Genomic DNA, 25,437 nt, shown 5'->3' with positions numbered 1-25,437 from the left:
TTAGCTGGGCATGGTGGCACATGCCTGGGGTCCCAGCTACTCAAGAGGCTGAGGCAGGAGGATGGCTTGAGCCAGGAGTTCAAGGCTGTAGTGAGCTATGATTGTGCCACCGCACTCCACCTGGGCAACAAAGTGAGACCCTGTCTCTAAAAGGAGAAAATAAAGAGGAGGAGAAAGACAGCGATGTGACAATGGAGGCAGGGCAGGAGCCGGGAGCCAAGGAATGAGGCCAGCCCCCAGAAGCTGACCAGGGGGGCAGTTTTCCTCCAGCCCCCAGAAGCTGACCAGGGGGGTGAACGGCTCTCCTCCAGCCTCCAGAAGCTGACTGGGGCGGGCCAACAGTTCTCCTCCAGTGCCTCGGGAGGGAGCTTGGCCAGCTGACGATGACACCAGTTTCAGCCCAACTAGGGCAAATAAACTTTTGCCATTTTCAGCCACTAAGTGAGTGGTGCTTTGTTACACAGCAATAGGAAACTCATACAACTGGGAAGGGAAATGTTTCTAGGAATTCCACCAAATTCAAATAAAATGTAAAATGGTCTGGGCTTTAGGATTTTGTGTGCTTGAAGCCCTGCATGTGTTAAGTCGTAACTAATGAGTTGTTTATTCCTTCAGCCTGCTTTTTGTTGTTGTTGTTGTTGGTTTGTCTTTGTTTTTGAGATGGAGCTTTTTTTTTTTTTTTTTTTTTGAGACAGAGTTTTGCTCTTGTCACCCAGGCTGGAGTGCAATGGCGCAATCTTGGCTCACCGCAACCTCCGCCTCCCAGGTTCAAGCGAATCTTGTGTCTCAGCCTCCCGAGTAGCTGGGATTACAGGCGTCTGCCACCACACCCGAATAATTTTGTATTTTTAGTAGAGACGGGGTTTCACCATGTTGGCCAGGCTGGTCTCGAACTCCTGACCTCAGGTGATCCACCTGCCTCAGCCTCCCAAAGTGCTGGTATTACAGGCGTTAAGTCACTGCACCCAGCCCAGCCTGATTATTTTGCTTGGTCAGTCTCAGACAAAAATAAAGGTCCAAAGTCAATGTGATCCACATACTGTCAACCAGGCCTGCAGAGCCCACTCAGCCCCCTTCTATCAGCCGGAAGCGCTGACTAGCGGCAGCCTCAGCCTGTCCTCCATCTCCTCTACCCCCGACCTTCCCACAGCAGCAGCCAGGCCGGCTGGGTCACCAGCTGTCACCTCTGGGCCCTCACCACCTCCAGGACCTCACTGAGTCCCAGCTCCCAGCGCCACAGGTCTCCTCGGCCTGGCCACCCCTTCTTCCCCGAGACCCTCATCCTAAACAGGGCAGAAAGGGAGCCAGCCCTTGACCCTGGATTCCCTCCTCTTTGCAGTGCCTGTCGAGTGCCTCCCTCCCACCTCCTGACCCTCCCCAGGACATGCCCTCAGGCCGCGCCACCCCTGCCCTCTCCTGAGCACTCCACAGGTCAGTACTGTACCTCCAGTCCACGTGAGGGGCCTTTCCTCCGCCCTTGTCTTTGTCAACCTCCCTGAGACCTCCGGTCACCACTGCCCTGTCGCTCCTCCCTCTGCTCTGCCAGTCACAGAGGCATCCGCATCATTGCAGTTACCAGGGCTAGAACTGTAAGCCTGTCTGATGGCAGGTTCCAGCCTCAGGAGGTCTCAGAGATAAGGCTGGACTTGCAGTTTTAAGAAAAAGACCCAGACAGGGGTGCACCAACTTGTGCAGGCTCAGCCACCCCACTGCCCTTGCCTGAGCCCCTGCCCTCAGCCAACATGGCCTCCCCCACCTGCAGAGCATCCAGCTGAGGCACCACGCAGGGCCCGGGCACCGGATACCCATCATCTCAAGTCCCCAAAAGCACTGGCCACGATGGACCTTTTTATATCGCTTTTTCAGGGGAAGAAACTTCGCACTGTGACAATTACTTTCTAAAGTGAAATATAAACTGGTTCTCCCTTACTCAGAATTGCTCTGCCCTCCCCACGTCGCCTTCTCTAGGGGAAGGCCAGCAGGACTCCACCCCAGCAGCCCTTGCTGCCCAAAGCCGCCTCTCTGCCCTCCTTGGTAGTCTCCTTGCTGTGAATGGTGGGGCTGCTGCCTTGCCTGGGAAGGCCCCCCAGCGCCCCTTCTGTGCAGGCCTTGCCGGCCATCCTGCACGTCCCTGTGGCCTCAGAAGGGCCCTGCACAGGACGGCATGGACCACGCTGAGGACTTCAGACAAAGACACTCTTAGCCCTTGCAGCAGCTCCAAAGACAGGTCCAATGAGGAAACTCAGGCACAGAGAAGGTGGTCACCTGCCCAGGGACACATTCCCAGCAAGTGACCAAGCAGGTGAGAGGCCAGGTGGTCCTCTCTGTCCACACTCCACGGCTCTGGGCCCCCTCTGTGTTCACCCTCCACTGTCTACACTCCATGGCTCTGGGCCCCTTCTCTGTCTGCACGGCTATGAGACTCTGTCTACACTCCACAGCTATGGGTCCCCTCTCTGTCTACACTAGATGGCTCTGGGCCCTCTCTCTGTCTACACTCCACGGCTCTGGGCCCCCTCTCGGTCTACACTCCACGGCTCTGGGCCCCCTCTCTGTCCACACTCCACAGCTCTGGGCCCCCTCTCTGTCTACACTCCACTGTTTATACTCCATGGCTCTGGGCGCCCTTTCTGTCTACACTCCACAGCTCTGGGTCCCCTCTCTGTCCCCATTCCACAGCTTTGGGCCCCTCTCTGTCTACACCGCACGGCTCTGGGACCCCTCTGTCTACACTGCACAATCGCGGCACCGCGGCTGAGGCGACCCCAGGTCGCTGCAGTGCGTCTGGAGTTCGGGTCTCGGAAGGCAGCTTCTGCCCTAACAAAGCGGCCGCTCGTGGAGTCCGACGAGGGAACCCTCCCAGCGCTCCCGGGCGCATCTCGCCCGCGGGACCCCCTGCCCGGCGCCGCCCCCGCGGGTCCCGCCAAGGGCCCGGGCGGGCCTCACAGCGCGGGGCCCCAGGAGGCCGCGCACCCGCCCGGCCGGAGGCCCCACAGGCCCGCGCCCCGCGCCGCCCGCCCCCGCCCCCGCCCCGCCCCGCCCCGCGCCGGGCCCGGGACCAGGAGCCTGAGTCAGGCCGGCGAACAAAAGGCAGGGCGGGCGGGCGGCGACCCCGAGGGGACGGGCGCCGCGCAGGGCTGGCCGGGATCGGCCGGGAGGCGGAGGGCGCGGGCGCGCGCCCCGGAGACGAAAGAAAGAGCGGAGGCGGCGCGCCCTGCCCCCGCCCCGGCCCCGGCCCCGCACACCTACCGGGCCGCGCCGCTCGCTCCCGCTCCGGGCGCTTCGGCCCGCGCCACCGCCCGCGCGCGCAACGGTCGCCTCGGCAGCCACCGCCCCCCGGGGTCGAGGCGAGGGCGGGGCCGAGGCCGGAGGAGGGGCGGGGACGGAGAGGGGCGGGGCGAACCTGGTGAGGCGGGGCCAAGGGGGTGGGGTTGGGGCGGGGCGATGCGGGGGCGGGGCACGGGGCGGGGCGAGGGCCTTCGCGTCGGGACAGCGTGGTAACGGGACTGCCAGGGAAGCAGGGATGAGAAGAAGCGAGGGACGGGGCCTCCACGGCCGGGGGCGGGACTTCCGTTGGGGGCGCGGCGGCGCTGGTGCGCACGGTGTGTACCCGCACTGGCCCGGCCCTGGTGCTGGGAGCGACTGCGTTCCCGCAAGCTGGTTTTCTCTGCCTCCGCTGGCCCGGGACACCCTGCGAAGGGCAGGTCGGTGTGGCCGGGAGGAGCCGCCCCTGCCTGGGCTGTCTCTGTCCTTCGCCGTCGGTGTCCGAGGAAGTCCCGCTCCCGTTGGGTCTCTGTGCCCGGGAAACCTGGCTGTGGGGAGTCAGGCCCCGGCGCCCTGGCTTTTCGGCTGGGCAGATGCCCGGAGCTGGCGGCAGCTTCGGGGGCGGCGTGAGTTCCCGCGGCGAAGCCACGGGGACAGCCAGGAAAGGCCGTTCCCTCCGGGCCCCGGGACGCCCGCGAAGGCGGCGCGGTGACTGCGGCGTCCAGCGGGTCTGCCCCTCCCGGAGCGCGGGCAGCAGCGAGGGCGGGACCGGAGGCACCGCTGGCACGAGAGGAGGAGCTGCCCGGCCCCGGCCTGCGCCTCTGGCCCTGTCCCAGCCGCCGCCTTCACCCTTTAGGCCGGAGTTCCTTCCTCGCCCTCTTCGTGTCTTCCTTCCCCGGCGCTGGGTCTCCCTGCCCCTTCCTTCCTGCCTTCCCCTCATTCTCTCCCGCCGCGTTTTTCCCTCGAGACGCATCCGTCGCTGCTGTTCACGCTCCAGCCCTGCCGCCCGCCCAGGGACTCGGCCCCTCTCGGGTTTGCTTCTTTCCTGTCACCTGCCTTGATGGGCTCAAAACGCTTCCCCTCCGTCCCCGCCACCGCCCCATGGTTTCTTGGCAGCTCTCCATCATCTAGTCTTGTGTGATTAGTTTGGATCCCAGGAGGAAACCAATGGCATTCTCAGTGGGACAATTAATTAAGAGTCCAGCAGGGTTCCCGCTGGCAGAGGCGCGGTCCGGGAGCCGGGAAGCCACAGGGCGGTGCTGAATTGGGACAGGTAACAGCAGGGAGGGAACTGTTTTCACCTGCAGGGCTGAAGGAGCGCGGCCAGAGCGGTTACAGGAAGCCAGACAAAGAGAGAGAGATACTTAACAGGAGCTGCGACCTATGGCCAAGGGACACAGCCAGCCCTTGATGACCCAGCAGAGAGAGCCAGGGAAGAGGCCAGGCGCGGTGACTCGTGCCAGTAATCCCAGCACTTTGAGAGGCTGAGGCGGACAGATCGCCGGAGCTCAGGAGTTCGAGACCACCCTGGGCAAGATGGCAAAACCCCATCTCTACTAAAATACAAAAAATTAGCCAAGCGTGGTGGCACGCGCCTATAGTCGAAGCTAGTTGGGAGGCAGAGTCAGGAGAATCACTTGAGCCCCGGAGGCGGAGGTTGCTGTGAGCCGAGATTGTGCCACTGCACTCCAGCCTAGGTGACAGAGTGAAACTCCATCTCAAAAAAAAAAAAAAAAGAGCCAGGAAAGAAACTGCCCCCACCCTGGCCCCCCCAAAACTGTGGACCTTCTTGGCTCCTGCCTATGCGCAGATGGTGGAATCTTCCAGAGCAGCGCCAAGCCAGAAGGAAGCAGGCCGCAGAGCTCAGCCTCCTGAGGCTCCAGGGCAGGGACAAGTGGCCCTGAGTGAGAGATGGGGAAACACCACCTGCAGGTCTCTTCTTTCCCTTTGGCTTTTTCCTCTACACTTGCCCGGCCTCCAGGTGCCTCATGGACAGGGGTAGGGGAAGAGGACGAGCAGCTCATACGAGGGGTCACCGAGCCTGTGAGAGAACTCATGCCCAGCAGGGGGGTGGCCCAAGAAGCTGTTTCTGTGGGAGGAAGCACCCTAGTCCATCCCCGTGAAAGCCAGGGCCCCCAGAAGTGGGGAGAAATTGCCTGAGACGGAGAGAAGGTGTCAAGTGTCATGCTGGAAGGTTTTGAAAAGGTAGGTCTTGCCAATTAAGCAAAACTCATTCAGTCCATCTGGAGGGGCTAGACACAGAACCATGCCCAAGTCTCTGGGTGGTCAGTCCCTGGCCCCTGTGGTTCTCCTCCTGTAGGCTTCACTCTTGGGCCCAGACTGGCAGGGCGGCCTCTGTTGGCACAGGGAGGGCCATGGAGAAGCGTGCACCTGCTCTTCCGTGCCTGCCAGGCAGCGGCTCAGCGGCCCTACCCACAGCTCATAGGCTACAGTTGCTTAAGGAGGCACTCCTGAGTTGAACAAGTGGGATGGATGATAATTCTTCCACGGGACTCGGGGTGTGGGGGCGTCCCCCCACATTCCAACACAGGCTACGACACGGATGACCCTTGAGGACACTATGCTAAGTGAAATAAGCTCGTCACAAAGGACAGATACTGTCTGATTCCACTTATAGGAGGTTCTTAGAGTAGGTACATTTATAGAGACGGATAGTAGAAGGGTGGGTGGCAGGGGCGGGGGAGAAGAGGACAGAAGTTATTGACAGTTTCAGTTTGGGAAGATGGAAGCATTCTGGAGATGGGTGGAGATGTTTGCTCAACAGTGTGAAGGTGCTTGATACCCCTGAGCTGTACCCTTAACAATGGTTAAGATACAGCCATTATGGAAAAGAGTATGGAGGTTCCACAACAAATCAAAACTAGAACTACCGTGTGATCCAGCAATCTCATTGCTGAGTATGTATCCAAAGGAAATGAAATCAGTGTGTCAAAGAGACGTCTGCACTCCCAGGCTCAGCACGGCACCACTCACAATAGCCGGGATGTGGAACCCACCTAAGCGCTCGTCGATGGATTAGGTGGATAAAGAAAACATCGTGAATTACTGAATACTCTGGAGCCTTAAAAAGAAGGAAATGTGCCATCTGCAACAACACAGATAAACCTGGGGGACATTATAACAGTGAAATAAGCCAGGCACAGAAAGACAAATATTGCCCGGTCTAACTTACATGTGGAATCTGAAAATGTCCAAGTCACAGAAACAGAGAGTAGGATGCAGGTTACCAGAGGCTGTGGGTGGGTAGGAATTGGGGAGACATTGGTCAAAGGGCACAAAGTTTCAGCTATGCAGGATGAATTAAGTTCAGAAGATCTATTGTACAGCATGATGACTAGTCAATAATAATGTACCCTTGAAAATCTCTAAGAGTAGATTTTAAATGTACTCATCACAAAAAATGGGATGTGAATGATGGGACACATTAATTAGCTTAATCACTCTGTAGTGTAAACATATATCAAAGCATCAGATTGTACAATTTTTCATTTGTTAATTAAAAATATATAAATATACTATGGGATTTGCACTAATTAAAAAAGTAAAAAATAAAAATTGTAGGCCAGGCACGGTGGCTCATGCCTGTAATCCCAGCTCTTTGGAAGGCTGAGGTAGGTGGCTCACTTAAGCTCAGGAGTTGGAGACCAGCCTGGGCAACACAGTGAAACCCCGTCTCTACCAAAAACACAAAAAATTAGCTGGGCGTGGTGGTGCGTGCCTGTGGTCCCAGCTACTCAGGAGACTGAGGCAGGAGGATCACTTGAGCCTGAGAAGTGAGGTTGCAATGAGCCAAGATCGCGCCACTGCACTGCAGCCTGGGCAACAGAATGAGATCCTGTCTCCAAAAAAAAAAATTGTGATGGTTAAGTTGGTAAGTTGTACGTCATGTGTGTTTTACCCCAATAAGAAAACATGTAAAACAATGTTCTCTGAGGGGCCCACACCTTACTTGGGGACCTGGTTGTGGGTGTCCTCAGCAGGTGGAGGCTGATAGGGGGAGGTGGGACCTCGGACTGGGTCCCTCCCACAGCAGGGCAACAGGATCCTGATGGCAGAGGCAGGTAGATGCACTTCCTGGGCAGGGAATGGCAGGCAGAGTGGGCAGCCAGGCTGGAGTCAGCCCACTCTAGGGGCTACACCAATGGGGCTCGTAGGGGTGGGGGGATGGCGGCTCACTCAGGGTTGACGGCGTCCATAATTAGAGACAAGGAGAGCTGGGAGCTGGGACCTGGGGCCCCTGAGGCCCCCAGCAAGCCACATGCCTCATGCAGTCTCCATGTGGGAATCGGTGCAAAGGCCCAGAGTCCCTTCACGGGGACCGGATCCCTTTGCAGAAGGCCCTGGAATGCCCTGTCAGCCTCTAAGCAGGTGTTTCCCTAGCCTTCCCTTGGGCCTGTGGCAACATGCCAGGGTCCATACGTCCCGGAAAGGAGGAACCTCCAGACTTTGGGGGCTTGCTTGTGTCAGGGTCTGAGCCGACCCAGGCAACAGAGGAACCCAAACCCCATCTGTCCTCCCGAGAGAGTTGGGGTTCGTCAGAGCTTGACCAGGTCCACCTCAAGGGACACCCATGGGCCTGCATGTCCCCAGTGAGTATTTTCCTGGCCCCAAAGCATGGGGGAAGCTGTGCCTCAGGAGCTGCACCAGGAAGCCAGGCCCAGAGGGGAGTGCTGGTGGCCAGGCGTCCGGCAGGCCTCTGCGCGGCTCACACCCTTCCTGCCCAGTGGGGATGCTGCCCACACCCACGGGGCCCCCTTGTCAGCTGCCCCCCTCCTGTCAGGGCCCAGCTCTGTGTCACAACCTTTGTGAAGCCAGTGTCCCCACTCCAGCCCCAGCCCTCCCACACGCCCACCAGACCCCACACACCCGCCGGGCCCATCACTCTTGGGGGTCTGCGCACACTCCCCATGCGGCAGTAGTTTATCTGCCATCGAATCCTTGTGTGCGCTCAGAGCAACGAGCACGCAGGCTCAGGGAGCTCAGGGCCAGCAGGTACGGGCCCACGGTGTCTCTCGACGGCTCGGCCATGGGAGGGGGAGGACCCAGAGGGACTCTGGCGCTGACGCTGGGAAGCAGGGCAGGGATGGAGCGAAGGGGCTGGCGTGCCCCCAAACAGAGCTAAGGGGACAGGTTTGTGTGGGGCCCGGTGAGTTTGGGGGAGATGTGGGAGCTGAGGGCCCCCACCCAGGCCCCGTGGGACAAATGAGCCTGCCAGCCCCTTGCCTGCACTCTGCCACATCTGAAATGCTCTGTCCCGGGACTACCTTCCAGGTGGGGCAGCCTCCTGTGCCCGTGTTGTGGAATTCACCATCAGTGAGCAGATGAAATAAATTAAATGAAGCATAATGTTTTTAACCAGAATACACAAAGTTAATTAAATAGAGCATATTGTTACTAAGTAGAGCTCATGGCAATTAGGGACGTTGTCACCAAATAAAATATGCATTAATTAAGTAGACCATATTATTCCTACACAGAACTTCCTCGGGCCGCCAGGGCCAGGGGCTGGGGAGGTCCCAAAGGCCAGCGGGCAGGGGCAGGTTCAGGAATCAGGAAGGGCTTGGCCACGTGTGTGGCGTGAACCCCTCCTGTGGGACCCGGCTTTGAAATGTCTCTTCTTGTCAAAGAACCGAAGCTTGGCAGCAACAGAGCTGCTCCAGCTGGAGGAATACCAATTTGGAGAAGATGTCCTTTTTTTGTTTTTTTTTTCAGACCATGTGATGTGCCTTGAGAAAATGTATGTTTAGGAGGGTGTTTTCCTTTACAGAAAATAAACGTGAAATAAATCAGAAAGCATCGCCTCAAAACAAGAAAATGACATCGGAAATGTTTTAAATGTTGCTCTTCGAGTCCACCTTGAACAATCACGCAAACGCCGCCCTCCCGGGGCTCTGCACAGCGTCGGGGCCTGGGCGCTGCTCGCTCTTCCGCTGTTCAGTGAGCAGGTAGCGCTCAGAGCTCACCTTTTCCCGGAGGATTATAAAAGAACTAGGTGCCCCTTTTTCTCTGTCTTCCTCAGTAACTCCCTAATATATGCCCAAAGCTGATGCTGGCCCCAACCCATTCACCCATCAAGTCCCAGATCACCATCATAGCCAGGTCCCCGAGGCCTCCCCAGCCCGAGGGAGCTCCCGGCCTGGGCGGAATTCCACTCAATCCTGCCGGAGCAGCGTCGGCTCCCGCAGGCACTGCTGACCGGGCTCCCATTCGGTGCCTAGCAGCGCACTAAGGGCCTGACGGGGGCTCTCTGACCCTCTCACAACCCTGCACATGCCCGTTTACAGATGCAGAAACTGAGGCCTGGGGAGACAAAGTGCTGGGAACACGTTCCCGCTGAGCCTTTCCCCGGTGTGCAGCGCTGGCCCCGCCTGGCTGCCACAGGCTGCCTTTCCTGCCCCTGACCCTCATTCCTCCTCACTCCCTCGCCCTGCATCCACCTGCGGGAGGGAGGAGAGCAAACCCCACACCGCAGCCCCCAGCACAGGCTTCCACCCCAGGAGGCCGGGGGAGCAGGGCCCACAGGGGCTGGCTTTAAACCAAGAATGGAGCTTGGATTAATATCTCAGGGTTAGGGTAATGGATTTGGACTGACTCTGAATTGAGACTGTATTTGCCAGTTGAGTGACAGAAGCTGCTTTTTATGTAGGAGCACACAGAAAATCCCCAGGCAGCCAGGAGCTTTCAGGGCCGGAGGAGGTTTGCCCACCGCATACGCAGTAATGGGGAACAGAAACCGGGCAGGCTGCATTTGGTGATCTCAGGAGAAAGGCTTCCTCAGTGTGTCGAAAGAAACCACACGCGGCCTGGGGCAGAAGACCTGCCCTTAGGGTGGCCGAGTGGCCTCTCCTGGCTCTAAGCATCAAAGGTCCTGCACCCCTGGAACCTCCTCGGTCCTAGGCAAAACAGACAGTTGGTGACCCTCCCTGTGGTGGCCTCACGAATAACCAGAAGGACATGCCAGGCTGGACGGAGGCACTGCCTTGCTCACCTCAGGCATCTGGGCTCCTCTCCACGTTCCCTGGGCTCCGTTCTTTTGGTGACGGCCCCAGCGGTCCCTGGAGCGCAGCCCGGCACACCGGCAGGAAGTGGTGAAGCCGTGGCTCCCTCCATCTGGGCTGGTGTTTGCAGGACATTTTCCTCACGGCGAAGCTGAGGGGTGACAAAGGAGTCTACGGAGCCCTGCCCCAGGCGCGGGCGCTCCCCAGGGCATGAGAACCCAGAGTCCCGCCCATGCACAACTCCTGTGCCAGGACACAGCCTGGTGGCTCTGACCAGCCAGTCGACAGAAGTCTGCTCTGGAAGGGGACTGGGGTGGGGGCAGAGGGGATGAGGAGGAGCCGGGAGGCACCACCTCGAGCTCACCCCCAACGGTGACAGTGGGGCTGGGGCTTGTTCCGGGGCGGGGCAGCCCGCCGGACCCAGCCCGAGAGGTTAAGCGCGCGGCTCGGGTCCTGGAGGCCACCACGTGGCCTGCGTCCTTGGGCCCTGGGAGCTTCCAGGGCTGAGGAGGCCACGGACACAGGACTTACAGGACAAAGGGAGGTGTAGCAGAGCGCTGGGCACCAGTCCCCCTTCCTTCCAGGCCCCCGTGCTCCCAGAGGCCCAGCCACGCCACCCTGGCACACCCTTTGTCCCTCACATTGCTCTGGTCACTTCAGTCATGACCCCCAAAACAGGCCTCTGCTGGAGCCGTAGCACTTGCTATGAATAGAGAGCGGGAGCTGAAGGAATGGTTTCCGCACGCTGCCTGAGCGGCCGCCTCGGTCTCCCCTTACTGCAGCCAGCCCGCAGGTCCGGATTCCCTGCCTCTGCTGTCCCACCATCCAGACAAGACCCACCAGCTGGGCCACCTGTCAAGTCCTCAGTGGGGGCCACTTTTCTGCAAATGCCCCAAGAATGCTATGGGGCTCTCCGTATCAGTGCTGTCCAGAGAAACAGAATCCAGTAGGGTGTGCAGATAGACAGAGATGCAGAAAGAGAGGAAGGGGAGAGACTGATTTTAAGAAATTGATGCATGGGCTGGTGGGGGCCGGCAGGTCTGCATTCTACAGGGAGGCGCTGGCTGGCTGGAGACCTGGGGAGGAGCTGCCGCCGCCCCTCAAGTCCAGAGCACCGTGCTGGCAGCCTTCCCTCCTCCTTGGGAGCCTTTTTCCTCTCAAGCCCTTCAACTGCTCAGATGAGGCCCACCCACACCGTGGAAGGTCATTGGCCTCACGTGCAGTTCCCTGACTTAAATGTTAACCTTATCTAAAAAATACCTTCACGGTGACATCTAGACTGGCATTCGACCAAACACTGAGCACCGTGGCCTGGCTGCTACCTCTGCCTCCCACTGGATAGTCCTTTTTTTTTTTTTTTTTTTTTTTTGAGATAGGGTCTTGCCCTGTTGCCCAGGCTAGAGTGTAGCAGTGGGATCACAGCTCACTGCAGCCTCAACTTCCCAGACTCAAGCCATCCTCCTACCTCAGCCTCCTGAGTGTTGAGATTACAGGCATGCACCACCGTGCCGGCCCTCACTGAATGCTTTTTTTTTTTTTTTTTAGATGGAGTTTCGCTCTGTTGCCCAGCCTGCAGTGTAGTGGCGTAATCTCGGCTCACCGCAACCTCTGCCTCCCAGGTTCAAGTGATTCTCCTGCCTCAGCCTCCCAAATAGCTGGGACTACAGGCACCTGCCACCATGCTCGGCTAATTTTTGTGATTTTCAGTAGAGAGGGGTTTCACCATGTTGGCCAGGCTGATCTTGAACTCCTAGCCTCAGCCTCCCAAAGCGCTGGGATTACAGGCATGAGCCATGCGCCCCGCCGGATGTTTCTTAATGTCGCCCAGCGGGGCGGTGGGGTAGTTTAGGGAGCAGCTGAGCAGCCAGCACACACAGATTCACCCCCACACCCGCCCTTCAGCCCTCCCCTCCAGGGCATCCTGCTGGCGCTTCCCATTGGCCAGGGTGAGCTGGGCTTCAGCCAGCCCAGCAGATTGCTCATGCCGCCCCTGGGGCTCAAGCCAACAACCCAATTCCCAAACCCAGGTGGATGCCATCAGCCAGTGCAGTCCCGTACGGCTTCCTGCTTAGCCTGGCACTCCTGGAACCCCATTCCACCTGTGTCCCCAAACGCCTGCTCCTACAGATTGTTGACCTTGGCCCAGAGCAACCTTTCGCCTCTCTGTCCAGATTACGCTGGGATGCAGCAAATCCCAACGGGCAGGGGGTGGGAGGTGAAGTCTTTGAAAACAAGGGAAGGCTCGTCCTCTCAGGCTGGAGTCTGGGCTGCCTCCTGCAGTGGCTTCAAAGTTTAATTTCATCTTTCTGTCGAGAAGTCCCCACCCCACGCCTTAGGAGCCCACTCCTTCCCCACCTGTGCCCTGAACCTACCAAGAGGGTTCACCTGTGCCGCCCCTTCCACAAGGCCCTGCACCTGACTCTTGCCCTGTCTGTCCTATGGCTCCAGGAGATGAGGAAACCCTTCTGCGCTATCACAGAGGTCTTCTGATTTTCCACCTGTGCCTTCTGCTGGGATTCAAGCCCTCCAATTTGTCTTCATCTCAATGGATGTTCTATCTTGACCCAATATTCACATCTCCATTGTCGTCATAGCGTCTAAGTTCCACAGGCATCTCCCAACACCATGGCCTCACCCATGCCTGCCCTGGTAGTCATCTGAGTGATCGTGATGCCTGTGTGTGCAGTGAATTCTTAAGGCCCCAGCTTCCCCCTTAAGGAAGTTATTGTGTAGCCATCAAATATGTGAGCATTCCAGCCTTCGAATCCCATTTTGAGAATCTGTTTCCTGGGGCCTTTCCTGGTATTAATTCCTCTATCAATCAAGAAACAGATAGCACACTCAAAAGGAGTGATTAAGGTTTGTTGAATGAGGGGCTTGTTTACAAACCTGTGGAAAGGTTAAGGGAAATGCTGGGGGCAGTGAGGTAGCCCAGGTCGGGCAACAGTAGAGCACTATGGGCCGCCGAGGCTCAGGGAACGAAGGGCTATCAGACTCCAGAGAGAGCACAGCCCTCCTGCTCCCATCTCTGCTGGTGTATCCCACTGGCCAAAGCCAACCAGAAGCCAGAAGGAAAGGGAGCCTGGTGGCTGCAGTTCGCAGAGGTCGGCCTTCGGGCACAAAGCAGAATGCAGAGCAGCTCTGAAGAAGGGAGGGGGGCCCAGCACAGGTGAAAGAGACCCAGACGGTCAATGCAGAATTTCATAGGCAACATACATGGATTTACGAAGTGAACCTACTCACACACCTGTGAGTAAGGGAATGGGCTCAGTGTGACACTAAAATGCACTGGAGACTACACAGCTGGGACAGCAAATGGCAGGCTGCTGTAGACATCACCACGGATGAATCACAGAAGAATGCTGAGTGAAAAAAGCAGAACACGCCAAAATGATTCTATTTATAGAAGGTTCAAAAACAGATGAAACGAAGTATATTTTTCCAGATACATACGCATGTTGCCAAATTGTTTTTTAAAAAAGCAGGCTGGGCGTGGTGGCTCACACCTGTAATCCCAGCACTTTGGGAGGCCGAGGCACATGGATAATGAGGTCAGGAGATCAAGACCATCCTGGGTAACATGGTGAAACGCTGTCTCTACTAAAATTTCAAAAAATTAGCCAGGCGTGGTGGCGGGCACCTGTAGTCCCAGCTACTTGGGAGGCTGAGGCAGGAGAATGGCGTGAACCCAGGAGGCGGAGCTTGCAGTGAGCTGAGATCACACTGCTGCACTCCAGCCTGGGTGACAGAGCAAGACTCCGTCTCAAAAAAATAATAATAAAACAAAAAACAAAAAAAGCAAAGTTGTCATTTTATTGTCCTCTGACCACTATTATTTCTGATGAAAAGTCAGCCAAAATATGCATCATTGTTCTTTTCATGTAAGGTCATTGTTTCTGGCTATTTTCAAGATTTTTCTCTTTCTGTTTGGATTTCGGCATTTTGGCTATGATGTTTCTGGGTGCGATTTTCTAATAATCCTGTGTGGGGTTTGTTGGATTTCTTGGATGTTTAGTTTATGTTTTTCACCACATTTTGGAAATCTGTCACCTTTATTTCTTCAACCATTTTTTCTACCTCATTTCTCTCAACTCCTTCTGCAGTCCCAGTTCCACATGCAGTCTGCCACATGATGGTGCCCACACGTGCCCAGGCTCTGTTCATGCTGCTGCAATCATTTTTATCCAGATGCTTCAGACTGGGCCATTTCTATTGCTGTATCTTCAAATTCACTGATTTTCTTTTCAGCCATATCCAATCCACTTCTAAGCCTATGCAGTGAAATTTTCATTTCAGTTACTGTATTTTTCATTTCTTAAATTTTCATTTGATTCTTTTTATAGCATATGTTTTTCTTCTTAAATTCTCCCGTCTGTTCATTCCTTATAAGAATGTTTTTCTTTAAGTCCTTGAACATACTTAGAACAGCTGATGTAAGATTCTGGCATGCTGCGCCAGGTGCAGTGGCTCATGCCTGTAATCCCAGCACTTTGGGAGGCTGAGGTGGGTGAATTACCTGAGCTCAGGAGTTCAAGATCAGCCTGACCAACATGGTGAAACCCTGTCCCTACAAAAATACAAAAATTACCTGAGCATGAAGGCAGGTGCCTGTAATCCCAGCTACTTGGGAGGCTGAGGCAGGAGAATTGCTTGAACCCGAGAGGCAGAGGTTGCAGGGAGCCGAGACTGCACCATTGCACTCCAGCCTGGGCAACAGAGTGAGATTCTGTCTCAAAAGAAAAAAAAAAAGATTCTGGCATGCTGATTGCAATATGTAGGTCATTTGGGTCAGTTTCCATTGTCTGCATTCTCTCTAGAGAACAGGTTACATACCTGTTTCTTCACACTTTTTACTGTATGCTGGATATCATTAATGATCTGCTGTAGAACTTCTGGATTCTATTATCTTTATCTGAGAAGTGTTGATTTTCTTCTAAGAGAAACGTATTTTCACTGGACTCAAATCCCAAACTCTGTCTCCCCCACGATGGGCAGCAGCTAAAAGCTCTGTTCAGTTCACTCTGTTGTTCCTGTTAGACCTGGACTCTTATCTTCTGACTCCTCAAGCCTGTAAGGCTGCAGTCTTCTGCCACCCCAAGCCATGTAAAGATTAAGACGTGCCCTTGGGGAAAAAAAATTCGTAGGCTCTTCCATCTCCGCCCCTGTAGATCGAATGTTACAGGGTAGACTTCCATGCAGTTTCTTCCTGAGGGGCAGGGAGTACACTGGGTCCCCAGGCCAGGTAGTGTCTGCCCTGGGGAAGTGAGGCCTCCTGGTGATGTTGCCATTTGTCCTTCAATTTGGAATCCACCCCCTACCCACCTAGCTGCCAACGTTTCACCACACCTACTCCATTCCTCCAAGTTCCTGATCCTGATCCTTGCGTGCCATTACCTGGGAGACCGAGGTCAGTGTCTCACCCCTATCCCAAGGGGTCCCAGGCCCTCATTCTCCTTCTCTCCCAGGCTCCCAGCCACAAGCCTCCTCCAGGACCCTCCTGAAGCCCTGCTGGTCAGTGCTACCTTGGGCATGAATGTCAGTGTCCTGAGATGGGTGGATCTCTCCAGCTTTCCTACACTTTTACAGGTAGATCACATGAATGACTCCAGCTGTGGCTCACACACAGCCAGGCATCCTATGTGGTTCGGTGTTCCCAGGCAGGATCCATTCCAGCCTCAGCCCTTCCATGGCACCACCCAATATTCATGGTTCCAGAGTAAGAGCTCCAATGCTGGCCACACATGCCCAAATATAGAATAAATATAAAGCTAATAAAATGTGAAATAAAATGTCTTCTATCCACCCACCTTGACACAAATTCATTTAAAACAACAAAACTGAAAAACAGAGCTAAAGCTATGGCTTCTCAGATAACCACACAAAAGCAAATATCCAAACTGACAATGTTTGTTGCCTGTGTCTGCAGAACAGTGACCGTCAGCTGTGCCTGCCTGAGTAATAGCAGAAGGATACACACTGTTCACAAATGATTATATTTTATTCCCCAAAATAACTTTTCCTGCATTCATTTCAGCAAAATCTCTAATTATGTTGTTATAATCTACATTTCCATATAATTTATGTTCTATTTTCAATTTGGAAGAACTTTTCCCTGATGAAGCAGAAGCAAACATAACTGTCAATAAAATTTTTCAAGCAAATATTTATCGTTGGAAAAGAGCCACAAATTTTATGTATCAATTCTAACATTATTATGGTACTGCCTATAATACATTATTGTTATCGCAGAAAATATTGCAAACTCCCTACTTTTTTTTTTTGAGACAGGGTCTTGCTCTGTTGCCCAGGCTGGAGTGCAGTGGCATAATCTTGACTCACTGCAACCTCCACTTCCCAGGCTCAAGTGATTCTCCTGGCTCAACCTCCCGAGTAGCCAGGATTACAGGTGCCCGCCACCACACCTGGCTAGTTTTTGTATTTTTAGTAGAAACAGAGTTTCACCATGTTGGCCAGGCTGGTCTTGGAACTCCTACCCTCAAGTGATCCACCCACCTGGGCCTCCCAAAGAGCTGGGATTACAGGTGTGAGCCACCATGCCTGGCCCAAACTTCTTAAATTTCATCACAAAAATCACTGTGATGTATAGCAAGATTTTCACCATCTCTTAAAGCAACACCTAGATTCATACAGTATTTCTAAAGCCCTTCTTTCAAATTTGCCAGTGCTGAGATATTATTTTTAAAGTACCAGAATATCACTCAGTTTATTCACATCTCTCTTCAATTGAGATTATTCCTTAATCTAAAATGGCAGAAAATAATCTGTATAGAATCATTAAAGATTATTTACATGTGAATTGTTTTCATCATGGTATCAGTCCGTTCTCATGCTGCTATAAAGAACTTCCCTGAGACTGGGTAGTTTATAAAGGAAAGAGTTTAATTGACTCACAGTTCCACATGGCTGGGGAGGCCTCAGGAAACTTACAATCATGGTGGAAGGGGAAGCAGGCACATCTCACATGGTGGCAGGCAAGAGAGTCAGCAAGAGCAGGGAAAACTGCCTTATAAAACCACCAGATCTCATGAGAACTCACTCACTATCACGAGAACAGCATGGGGGAAACCACTGCCATGATCCAATCATCTCCCTCCCTCAACATGTGGTGATTATGGGTCCCTCCCTGGACACATGGGGATTACAATTTGAGATGAGATTTGAGTGGGGACACAGAGCCAAACCATATCAATCATCATGCAAATGTTTTCATTTCTTTGTTCTGATTTCTTTAGATTTTACTAGAATGCTATTTTTATTGCTTATTTTACATGAGGTCTTTGTAGTAGACAAAAGCCATTTTCCAATTAAAAAATATATCTAAACATTTTAAACATAAAATAGTCAACCTTCTTTTCTTTCCTTTTTTTGGGGGTAAGCCTTTGCAAATGTTACCAATAAAAATTAACATATCAAATGACTAGAACAGAGCATGTCTAAAATTAATTTCATTTTCTTCTGAAGACCATGATTTATTTTTATCTGAGAATATTCTGCTGTTTCCTTTAACTCTTCTAATACATCTTGAATACTGTATAAATTCAATCTAATTGCTTTAACAGCATTTAGTTGACATTCTTTTGTGGTTCTGAGGGTGATTATAAGGTCAAATATGATACACATTGAGTCAAGATGTCCCATCTTTGGGAAGATGCAGAAACTATCAAACATAATCCTCAGGGTATTCCAAAGCACATCCTCACTCTTGGCATCCTCAAAACCACATCTCCTGACAACAAATTCAAACTCTGTGCTGTACATGGCCGAAAGGTGGCTTCTAGGCTTCCTCTTCCCTTACCCATTGTGATAGCACCATTATCACAGCCTCCACAGCCTCCCCTTGACAATCTTTTAAAAATAAAAAAAACTAACTAAATCAGCCAGATGCGGTGGCTCACCCCTGTAATCCCAGCACTTTGGGAGGCTGAGGGGGGCAGATCATCTGAGGTCAAGAGTTCAAGACCAGCCCGACCAACATGGTGAAACCCCATCTCTACTAAAAATACAAAAATTAGCCGGGCATGCTGGCGCATGCCTGTAATCCCAGCTACTCAGGAGGCTGAGGCAGGAGAATTGCTTGAACCCAGAGGCAGAGGTTGCAGTGAGCTGAGATGGCACCACTGCTCTCCAGCCTGGGCAACAGAACAAGACTCTGTCTCAAAAAAAAAAAAAAAAAAAAAAAAAAAAAAAAAAACTAAATAAATCTAAAATTGTTTTTATTTGATTTTTGAAAATTTAATTGACTCATTAAATAAAATGGCCCACTGGCTGCCAGTGTGAAAGTGAGGAACTCTGTGATGTGTGAGTTCTGGCCCTTTCTGCCTGCAAGGAGAGGTAAGAACCCCAGTCTTGCAAAATACTCTTCCACTGCCACGCGATCCTGTAGTGACTGCTCTGCTCATGTGTGAGAAGCTCTGGAAACAATCACAAATAGAAATATGAAGAAAAACAAGACAAGTAGACACTGGTGCTATTAGGAAACAGTATTTCATTATGCGAGACTCTATGGCATTCGCACCACCTGAGAGGAAGAATGAGACAAGTTCATTAATTCTTCTTTTATCCTTAGCTGAGCACTTTCGATGTGAAGCCTAATGAGGGAAAGAAAACAAGACTTCTTCCACCTAGGGTATAGAATGATGGAAAAGATTTTCACTCCCGTGGCAACAACCAGAAGAACCCAGAAACAATATTATACATTTCTATGAGATTACTAGTCCAGTAGATGCAAGGAAATTTTGATGACCTAAATTCCCAAGAGAGACCAGCCCTTCCTATAGAACAGCAGCTTCCATCCCCGAACAGGAGGCTGGTCTGCATGTTAGCAGACGAAGGAGCAAGGCTGCCACAAAACGGGAGACCGCAGGGATGAAGAGAAAGCAGCCCAGTCCTACACGATGCGTCACTCAGCCCAGCCAGCCTACTGGCTCCCATCCAGCCTCCATTTTTGCCATGAAAGTAGCGATGGAGGAGAGGCTGGGAAGCAGGCAGAAATCACTTAGTCCTCCGCATTGTCACAGTGCTGCGATTCCATTGCTGTGCCAGAGTGAAATCTAAGTTGAACCAAATATACCTAAAGCTCAACCCTTCCTAGCTCAAATACTGACAAGATCTAAAAAGGCTGCAGTGGAATGGGAAGTAGAGGGTTAGGCTAAACATGGGTAAACTCAATGTAATTAATTTGTGGCCCAGCTCCAAGGATGACTTGACTTTTAGAGGAATCTGAATGATAAGCCCCTTACTCAAACTGAGGAAAGGGTTTACATTATGTGGGAAACATGCATAACAAAATCAAAACAGAACAAAATATGACCTATGAGTTTCCACTGTTTATTTACATCCAATGTCTGGAATGAAACAAAAAATTATAAGACATGTTAAGAAGTAGGAAAGTTTGACCCATAATCAAAAGAAAGCACAATCAAAAGATGCAGACCGAGATGATCCAGTAATGGAAATTAGCAGACACATAATGTAAAGAAGTATTATGAATACATAAAAAATGTACCGATAAAGATGCATAAACATAAAGCGATGGGGTATACTAGAAGATAAGTAGAAACTCTAAATAAAATATCAAAAAGAAAGTCAAGCCAAAAATGACACTATCATGGTATCTGAAATAAAACATGTATTGGTGAGGCTTCTGTGCACTGCAAAAAAAAAAAAAATTTCAACATAAATAATCTAAACGAAATCACAGAGCACAAAATGGAAAGAATAAAATGAAAAGAGCACCTGTGACCTGTGTGATAATATCAAGTGGGGTGACATATGTGTAACTGGAGTTCCAGAGAAAGAGTACAGGTAAAATGGGGAGAATCTAAAGAAACTGTGGCCAAAATTTTCTCAAACTGAATTTAAAAAAATCACTCATAGATCCCCAAAGCTCAATAAATCCCAAGCAGGACAAGTACAGAGAAAATACACCCAGGCACAAATTGTTGAAAACAAAAACTAAAATCTTAGAAGCAGCCAGAGGAAAAAAAGATAGATTACATACATTAGTACAATAATAAAAATGATGGCAGGGTTCTTATTAGAAACAATGAAGCCCAGAAGACAAAAGAACATCTTTAAAGAACTAGGAGCATGGGAGGAGGGACTGTCAACTGAGAATTTCTATATCTAGTGAACACATCCTTAAAAAATGAAAGCAAAATAAAGGTGTTTTCAGATAAACAAAAGCTGCAGGAATCCATTGCTGGTAGATGCACACTACAATGCTGAAAGAAATTCTTTAGGCTGAAGGGAAGTAATGACAGAGGGAAACCTGGATCTACACACACACAAAAAATGAAGAACAGAAGAAATGGTAAATGTGTGTGTATATATAAAAGACTTGTTTTCCCTTTCTTAATTTTTTAAAACAACAATTGAACACCTACAGCAAAAATACTAACAATGTACCATGAGGCTTATAAATACAGGTAAATTACATGCAACAATAGCACAAAGGATGGGAGGGAAATGGAATTATAAGTTGAAAGGTTTTTACATTATATATCAAATAGTATAATATGATTTCAAAGTAGATTGAGGTAAATTAAGGAAATACATTAGGATCCCTAGAGCAATTTCAAAAAGATAATACAAAGATTGTTGTAAATTAAAACCCAATGGAGGAGATAATTTTTTTTTAATGTTAAAAAGTCAATCAAAAAGAAGGCAGGGGCCAGGTGCAGTGGCTCATGCCTGTAATCCCAGCACTTTGGGAGGCCGAGGCAGGTGGATCACCTGAGGTCAGGAATTCAAGACCAGCCTGGCCAACATGGTGAAACCCCATCTCTACTAAAAATACAAAAAAATTAGCCAGGTGTGGTGGTGGACACCTGTAATCCCAGCTACTCAGGAAGCTGAGGCAGGAGAATCGCTTGAACCTGAGAGGCAGAGGTTGCAGTGAGCTGAGAACACGCCATCGTACTCCAGCCTGGGTGACAAGAGTGAAACTTCATCTCAAAAAGAATAAATAAATAAATAAAAATTTTAAAAAAGGCATGAAAGGAGAAACAATAGTGTAAACAACAAACGTAAACAATTGAAAACAATTAGCAAGATTACAGGTAGACTTAAACCCAACTACATCAATAATTACCTTAAATACAAATGGGCTACATAGTACAATTAAAAGACAGCATGTCAGACTGAATTAAAAAACCAAAACTCTCTATATTCTGCTTAACAGAGACACACTTAAAATATAAAAACAAGTTTAGGTTAAAAGTAAAAGAATTAACAAAAAAAAAAAAAGAAATACCATGGAAAAATACCATAAGAAAGCCGGGTGGCTATATTTTCAAACATTTGAGGCAAAAATTGTAAGAACTAAAAAAAGAAAAATAATCAGAAATAAGACCATACCATATAGTTGAATATTTAACATTATTCTATTATAAATTGTTGGGAAAACCAGACAAAATAATCAGTAAGAACATAAGGCCGGGTGCGGTGGCTCACGCCTGTAATCCCAGCACTTTGGGAGACTGAGGCGGGCGGATTACGAGATCAGCAGATCGAGACCATCCCGGCTAACATGGTGAAACCTCGTCTCTACTAAAAATACAAAAAAATTAGCCAGGCGTGGTGGCGGGTGCCTGTAGTCCCAGCTACTTGGGAGGCTGAGGCAGGAGAATGGCATGAACCTGGGAGGCAGAGCTTGCAGTGAGCGGAGATCGTGCCACTGCACTCCAGCGTGGGCGACAGTGTGAGACTCCATCTCAAAAAAAAAAAAAAAAAAAGAACATAAAAGATTTTTAAAACACCATAAAACAATCTAACCTAATTAACACATATAGAAGACTATACCCATCAACTATAGAATAAATACTCTTTTCAAGAGCACATGGTACATTTACCAAGAAAGAACATTTACTGGGCCATAAAATAAATCTCATTAAATGCTAAAGGACTGAAGTCATACAGCATGCATTCTCTGACAACAACAGAAATCAGTAACAATGTCTAGAAAACCATTCACTTTTGATGACAAAGTAACATAATTCTAAATAACTCAGGTCAAACAAGATATCACAAAGAAAACTAGAAAATTATTTTTAACTGAATAGTAAAGAAAACAAAATATATCAAAATTTGTAGTATATAACTAAAGTTCTTATAGAGATACTTATAATTTTTAAATGTTTATATTTAAAAACTAGTTTGAAATAAATGATCTGAGCTTCCACATTAAGAAGCTAGAAAATAAAGAGCAAATTAAACCTAAAGTAAATAGAAGGAAGGGAATGACAAAAATAAGAGTGGAAATCACTGAAACAGAAAACAGCCAAACCGCAGAAAAAGACAAAAGAACCAAAAGTTGGTTTTTCAAAATGACTAATAAAATTGATCTACCCTTAGTAAGACTAATGAAAAATAGAGGGAAAATACAAGTTACAAACATTAGGCTATCACACTGAGCCTACAGATATAATAATAAAAGGATAGTAAGAGAACAGTACAAGCAACTTTATAACAATACACTTGACAACTGATATAAAATTTTAAAGTTCCTTTAAAAACTGCAAAAAAATTACACAAGAGGAAATAGAAAGTTTAAACAGCTCTATTTCAATCAAAGAAACTGAATTAATAGTTAAGAACTTCATGGCTCATGCCTGTAATCCCAGCACTTTGGGAGGTCGAGGTAGGCGATCACAAGGTCAGGAGTTCAAGACCATCCTGGCCAACAGGGTGAAACCCCCGTCTCTACTAAAAATACAAAAAAATTAGCTGGGCGTGGTAGCGCACGCCTGTAGTCCCAGCTACTTAGGAGGCTGAGGCAGGAGAATTGCTTGAACCCAGGAGGCAGAGGCTGCAGTGAGCCGAGATCGCGCCACTGCACTCCAGCCTGGGCGCCAGAGCGAGACTCCATCTCAAAATAAAATAAAATAATAATAATAATAATATAATTAAGAACTTTAAAGGGATGCATCAAAAAATAAGACAGAATGATAAATAGATGGATAGATATGTGATAAGGAAAATATAATAAAATGTCAGTCTAGGAAATGAGCATGACTATTCATTACACAATTCTATTCATTTTTCTGAGTGGCTGAAATTCTTCATAATAAAAATTTTGGGGAAAAGCTAACGTTTTCCACAAGGAAATTGATTCAGAAATAAAACCCCAGGACCATGTGGTGTTGGAACAGATCAAATATTTAAGGAAGAAATAATACCATCCTTACACAATTTTTTTCAGAAAAAAGAGAAAGATGGAACACTCTTGCACTTACTGTATGAAACCCATGTAACTCTGATATCAAAACCTGACAAGGACATCAAGAGAAAAAGAAATTACAGCCCAATGACCCTCATGAACACAGACACAAAATCCTTAGCAGAATATTACTACATTGAATAGCACATCATGAACAAGTGCAGTTTATCCAAGGAACGCAAGGTGGGTTTAACATTCGAAAAGCAATTCTTCAAAGTCACCACATTAATAAAAATAAAGGAGAAAAATCTTATGGTCATCTTAATGAATGCACAGATAGCATTTGTTAATATTCAACATCCACTTATGATAGAAACTCTACATAAACTAAAATTAGAAGGGAACTTCCTCATTTGATAAAGGGCACCTATGAAAAACCTACAGCTGACCAGGTGCAGTGGCTCACGCCTGTAATTCCAACACTTTGGGAGGTCAAGACGGGTGGATCACTTGAGGTCAGGAGTTTGAGAACAGCCTGGCCGACATGATGAAATCCCATCTCTACTAAAAACAGAAAAATTAGTCAGGCATGGTGGTGGGCACCTGTAATCCTAGCTACTTGGGAGGCTGAGGCACGAGAATCACTTGCACCTGGGAGGTGGAGGTTTGCAGTGAGCTGAGATCGCGTCACTGCATTCCAGCCCGAGGGACAGAGCAAGACTCCATCTCACGGAAGGAAGGAAGGAAGGAAGGAAGGAAGGAAGGAAGGAAGGAAGGAAAGAAAGAAAGAAGACCTACAGCTAATGTCATACTCATTGGCGAACAACTGAATACTTTCTTTCTAAGATCAGGACTAAGGCAATGGTGCTGCTCTCCGAACTTCTTTTCAACATTGTACTGGAGCTCATAGCCAGAAAATAAGGCAAGAAAGAGAAATAAAAGACATAGAGATAAGAAACTTGTCCTTATTCACACACAGATAAGAAGCTTGTCATCAAGAAGATGTTATTGTAAACATGGAAAGTCCTAAAGAATTACAAAAGAAAAAGCTGTTAGGATGAATAAGTGAGTTGAGCAGGGTTGCAGGCTACAGATACAAAAATCAACTGTATTTCTAGATACTAGCAAAAAGTTAGAAAATCAATATACTGATAAATAAATTTAATAAAGGATGTATTAGACAGCTCCAAATGGTGAGATACACCATGTTCATAAATTGTAAGACAATATTTTCAACATGTCAGTTCTTATCAAGTGGGACTATGAATTCAATTCCATCTCAATACAAATTTCAGCAGGCTTTTTTGGGGATAGAAATCAATAAGGTGATTTAAAATTTATACAGAATGGCAAAATATATGGATTAGCAAAAACAGTTTTGGAAAAGAAGAAGTTTGGAAGACTTACACTAGGTGACCTGAAGATTTTCTATAAAGGCACAGTAACCAAGATAATGCAGACGCACAGACCAACAGGACCGAATGGTGTCTCAAAATAGACCCGCTCGGCCGGGCGTGGTGCCTCACGCCTGTAATCCCAGCACTTTGGGAGGCGAGGCGGGAGGTTCACCTGAGGTCAGGAGTTCAAGACCAGCCTGGCCAACGCAGCCAAACCCCGCCTCTACTAAAAATGCAAAAAAAAAAAAATTAGCCAGGCATGATGGTGGATGCCTGTAATCACAGGTACTTGGGAGGCTGAGGCAGGAGAATTGCTTGAATCTGGGAGACGGAGGTTGCAGCGAGCTGAGATCGTGCCACTGCACTCCAGCCTGGGTGACAAGAATGAAACTCCATCTCAAAAAAAAAAAAAATAATAATAATAATAGACCCCCTCCTGTTCTGTGAATTGCTTTTTGACAAAGGCACCAGACACTCGCGATAGGGAAAGGGCAGGCTTTCTAACAAACAGTTCTGGAATAACAGGGGAATCACGTGGAAAAAATGGCTCTGATATCCATTTCATTTCCTACAAAGC

At 49.6% G+C, this 25,437-nt stretch overlaps 1 protein-coding gene across 9 annotated transcripts in view, besides 5 other annotated features; it reads right to left on the bottom strand.

Annotated features, from left to right (window-relative positions):
- Positions 1 to 10,458, bottom strand: part of RGS12 (regulator of G protein signaling 12) — a 154,023-nt gene extending 143,565 nt beyond the window's left edge. For 7 of the 9 annotated variants that reach the window (NM_001394154.1, XM_011513543.3, NM_001394157.1 and 4 more), the window contains exon 1: positions 3,250 to 3,328. The gene's annotated coding sequence lies outside the window, so the exon portion shown is untranslated. Of the gene's footprint in view, positions 1 to 1,444; positions 2,825 to 3,249; positions 3,329 to 10,273 lie in introns of those variants that run through there. The other 2 variants (NM_001394155.1, XM_017008529.3) reach the window with 2 other exon arrangements.
- Positions 974 to 1,169: a silencer, noted in NCBI's record as "fragment chr4:3296907-3297102 (GRCh37/hg19 assembly coordinates)". NCBI's record gives its function as "represses an EF-1alpha promoter that drives an FKBP-Casp9 reporter gene in an ReSE screen in K562 erythroleukemia cells {active_cell/tissue: K562}" and the evidence as "EXISTENCE:reporter gene assay evidence [ECO:0000049][PMID:32094911]".
- Positions 1,954 to 2,539: an enhancer, noted in NCBI's record as "H3K27ac-H3K4me1 hESC enhancer chr4:3295537-3296122 (GRCh37/hg19 assembly coordinates)". NCBI's record gives its function as "activates a minimal SCP1, AML or CMV promoter by ChIP-STARR-seq in naive H9 embryonic stem cells {active_cell/tissue: H9 hESC(naive)}" and the evidence as "EXISTENCE:reporter gene assay evidence [ECO:0000049][PMID:30033119]".
- Positions 3,193 to 3,242: a silencer, noted in NCBI's record as "silent region_15204". NCBI's record gives its function as "represses an Ori minimal core promoter by ATAC-STARR-seq in GM12878 lymphoblastoid cells {active_cell/tissue: GM12878}" and the evidence as "EXISTENCE:reporter gene assay evidence [ECO:0000049][PMID:35858748]".
- Positions 3,253 to 3,732: a silencer, noted in NCBI's record as "silent region_15203". NCBI's record gives its function as "represses an Ori minimal core promoter by ATAC-STARR-seq in GM12878 lymphoblastoid cells {active_cell/tissue: GM12878}" and the evidence as "EXISTENCE:reporter gene assay evidence [ECO:0000049][PMID:35858748]".
- Positions 3,913 to 4,022: a silencer, noted in NCBI's record as "silent region_15202". NCBI's record gives its function as "represses an Ori minimal core promoter by ATAC-STARR-seq in GM12878 lymphoblastoid cells {active_cell/tissue: GM12878}" and the evidence as "EXISTENCE:reporter gene assay evidence [ECO:0000049][PMID:35858748]".

Source organism: Homo sapiens, chromosome 4 (assembly GCF_000001405.40).
Source record: "Homo sapiens chromosome 4, GRCh38.p14 Primary Assembly".
Taxonomy (NCBI): Eukaryota; Metazoa; Chordata; class Mammalia; order Primates; family Hominidae; genus Homo; species Homo sapiens.
This window is presented reverse-complemented; position numbering and strand designations above follow the sequence as displayed.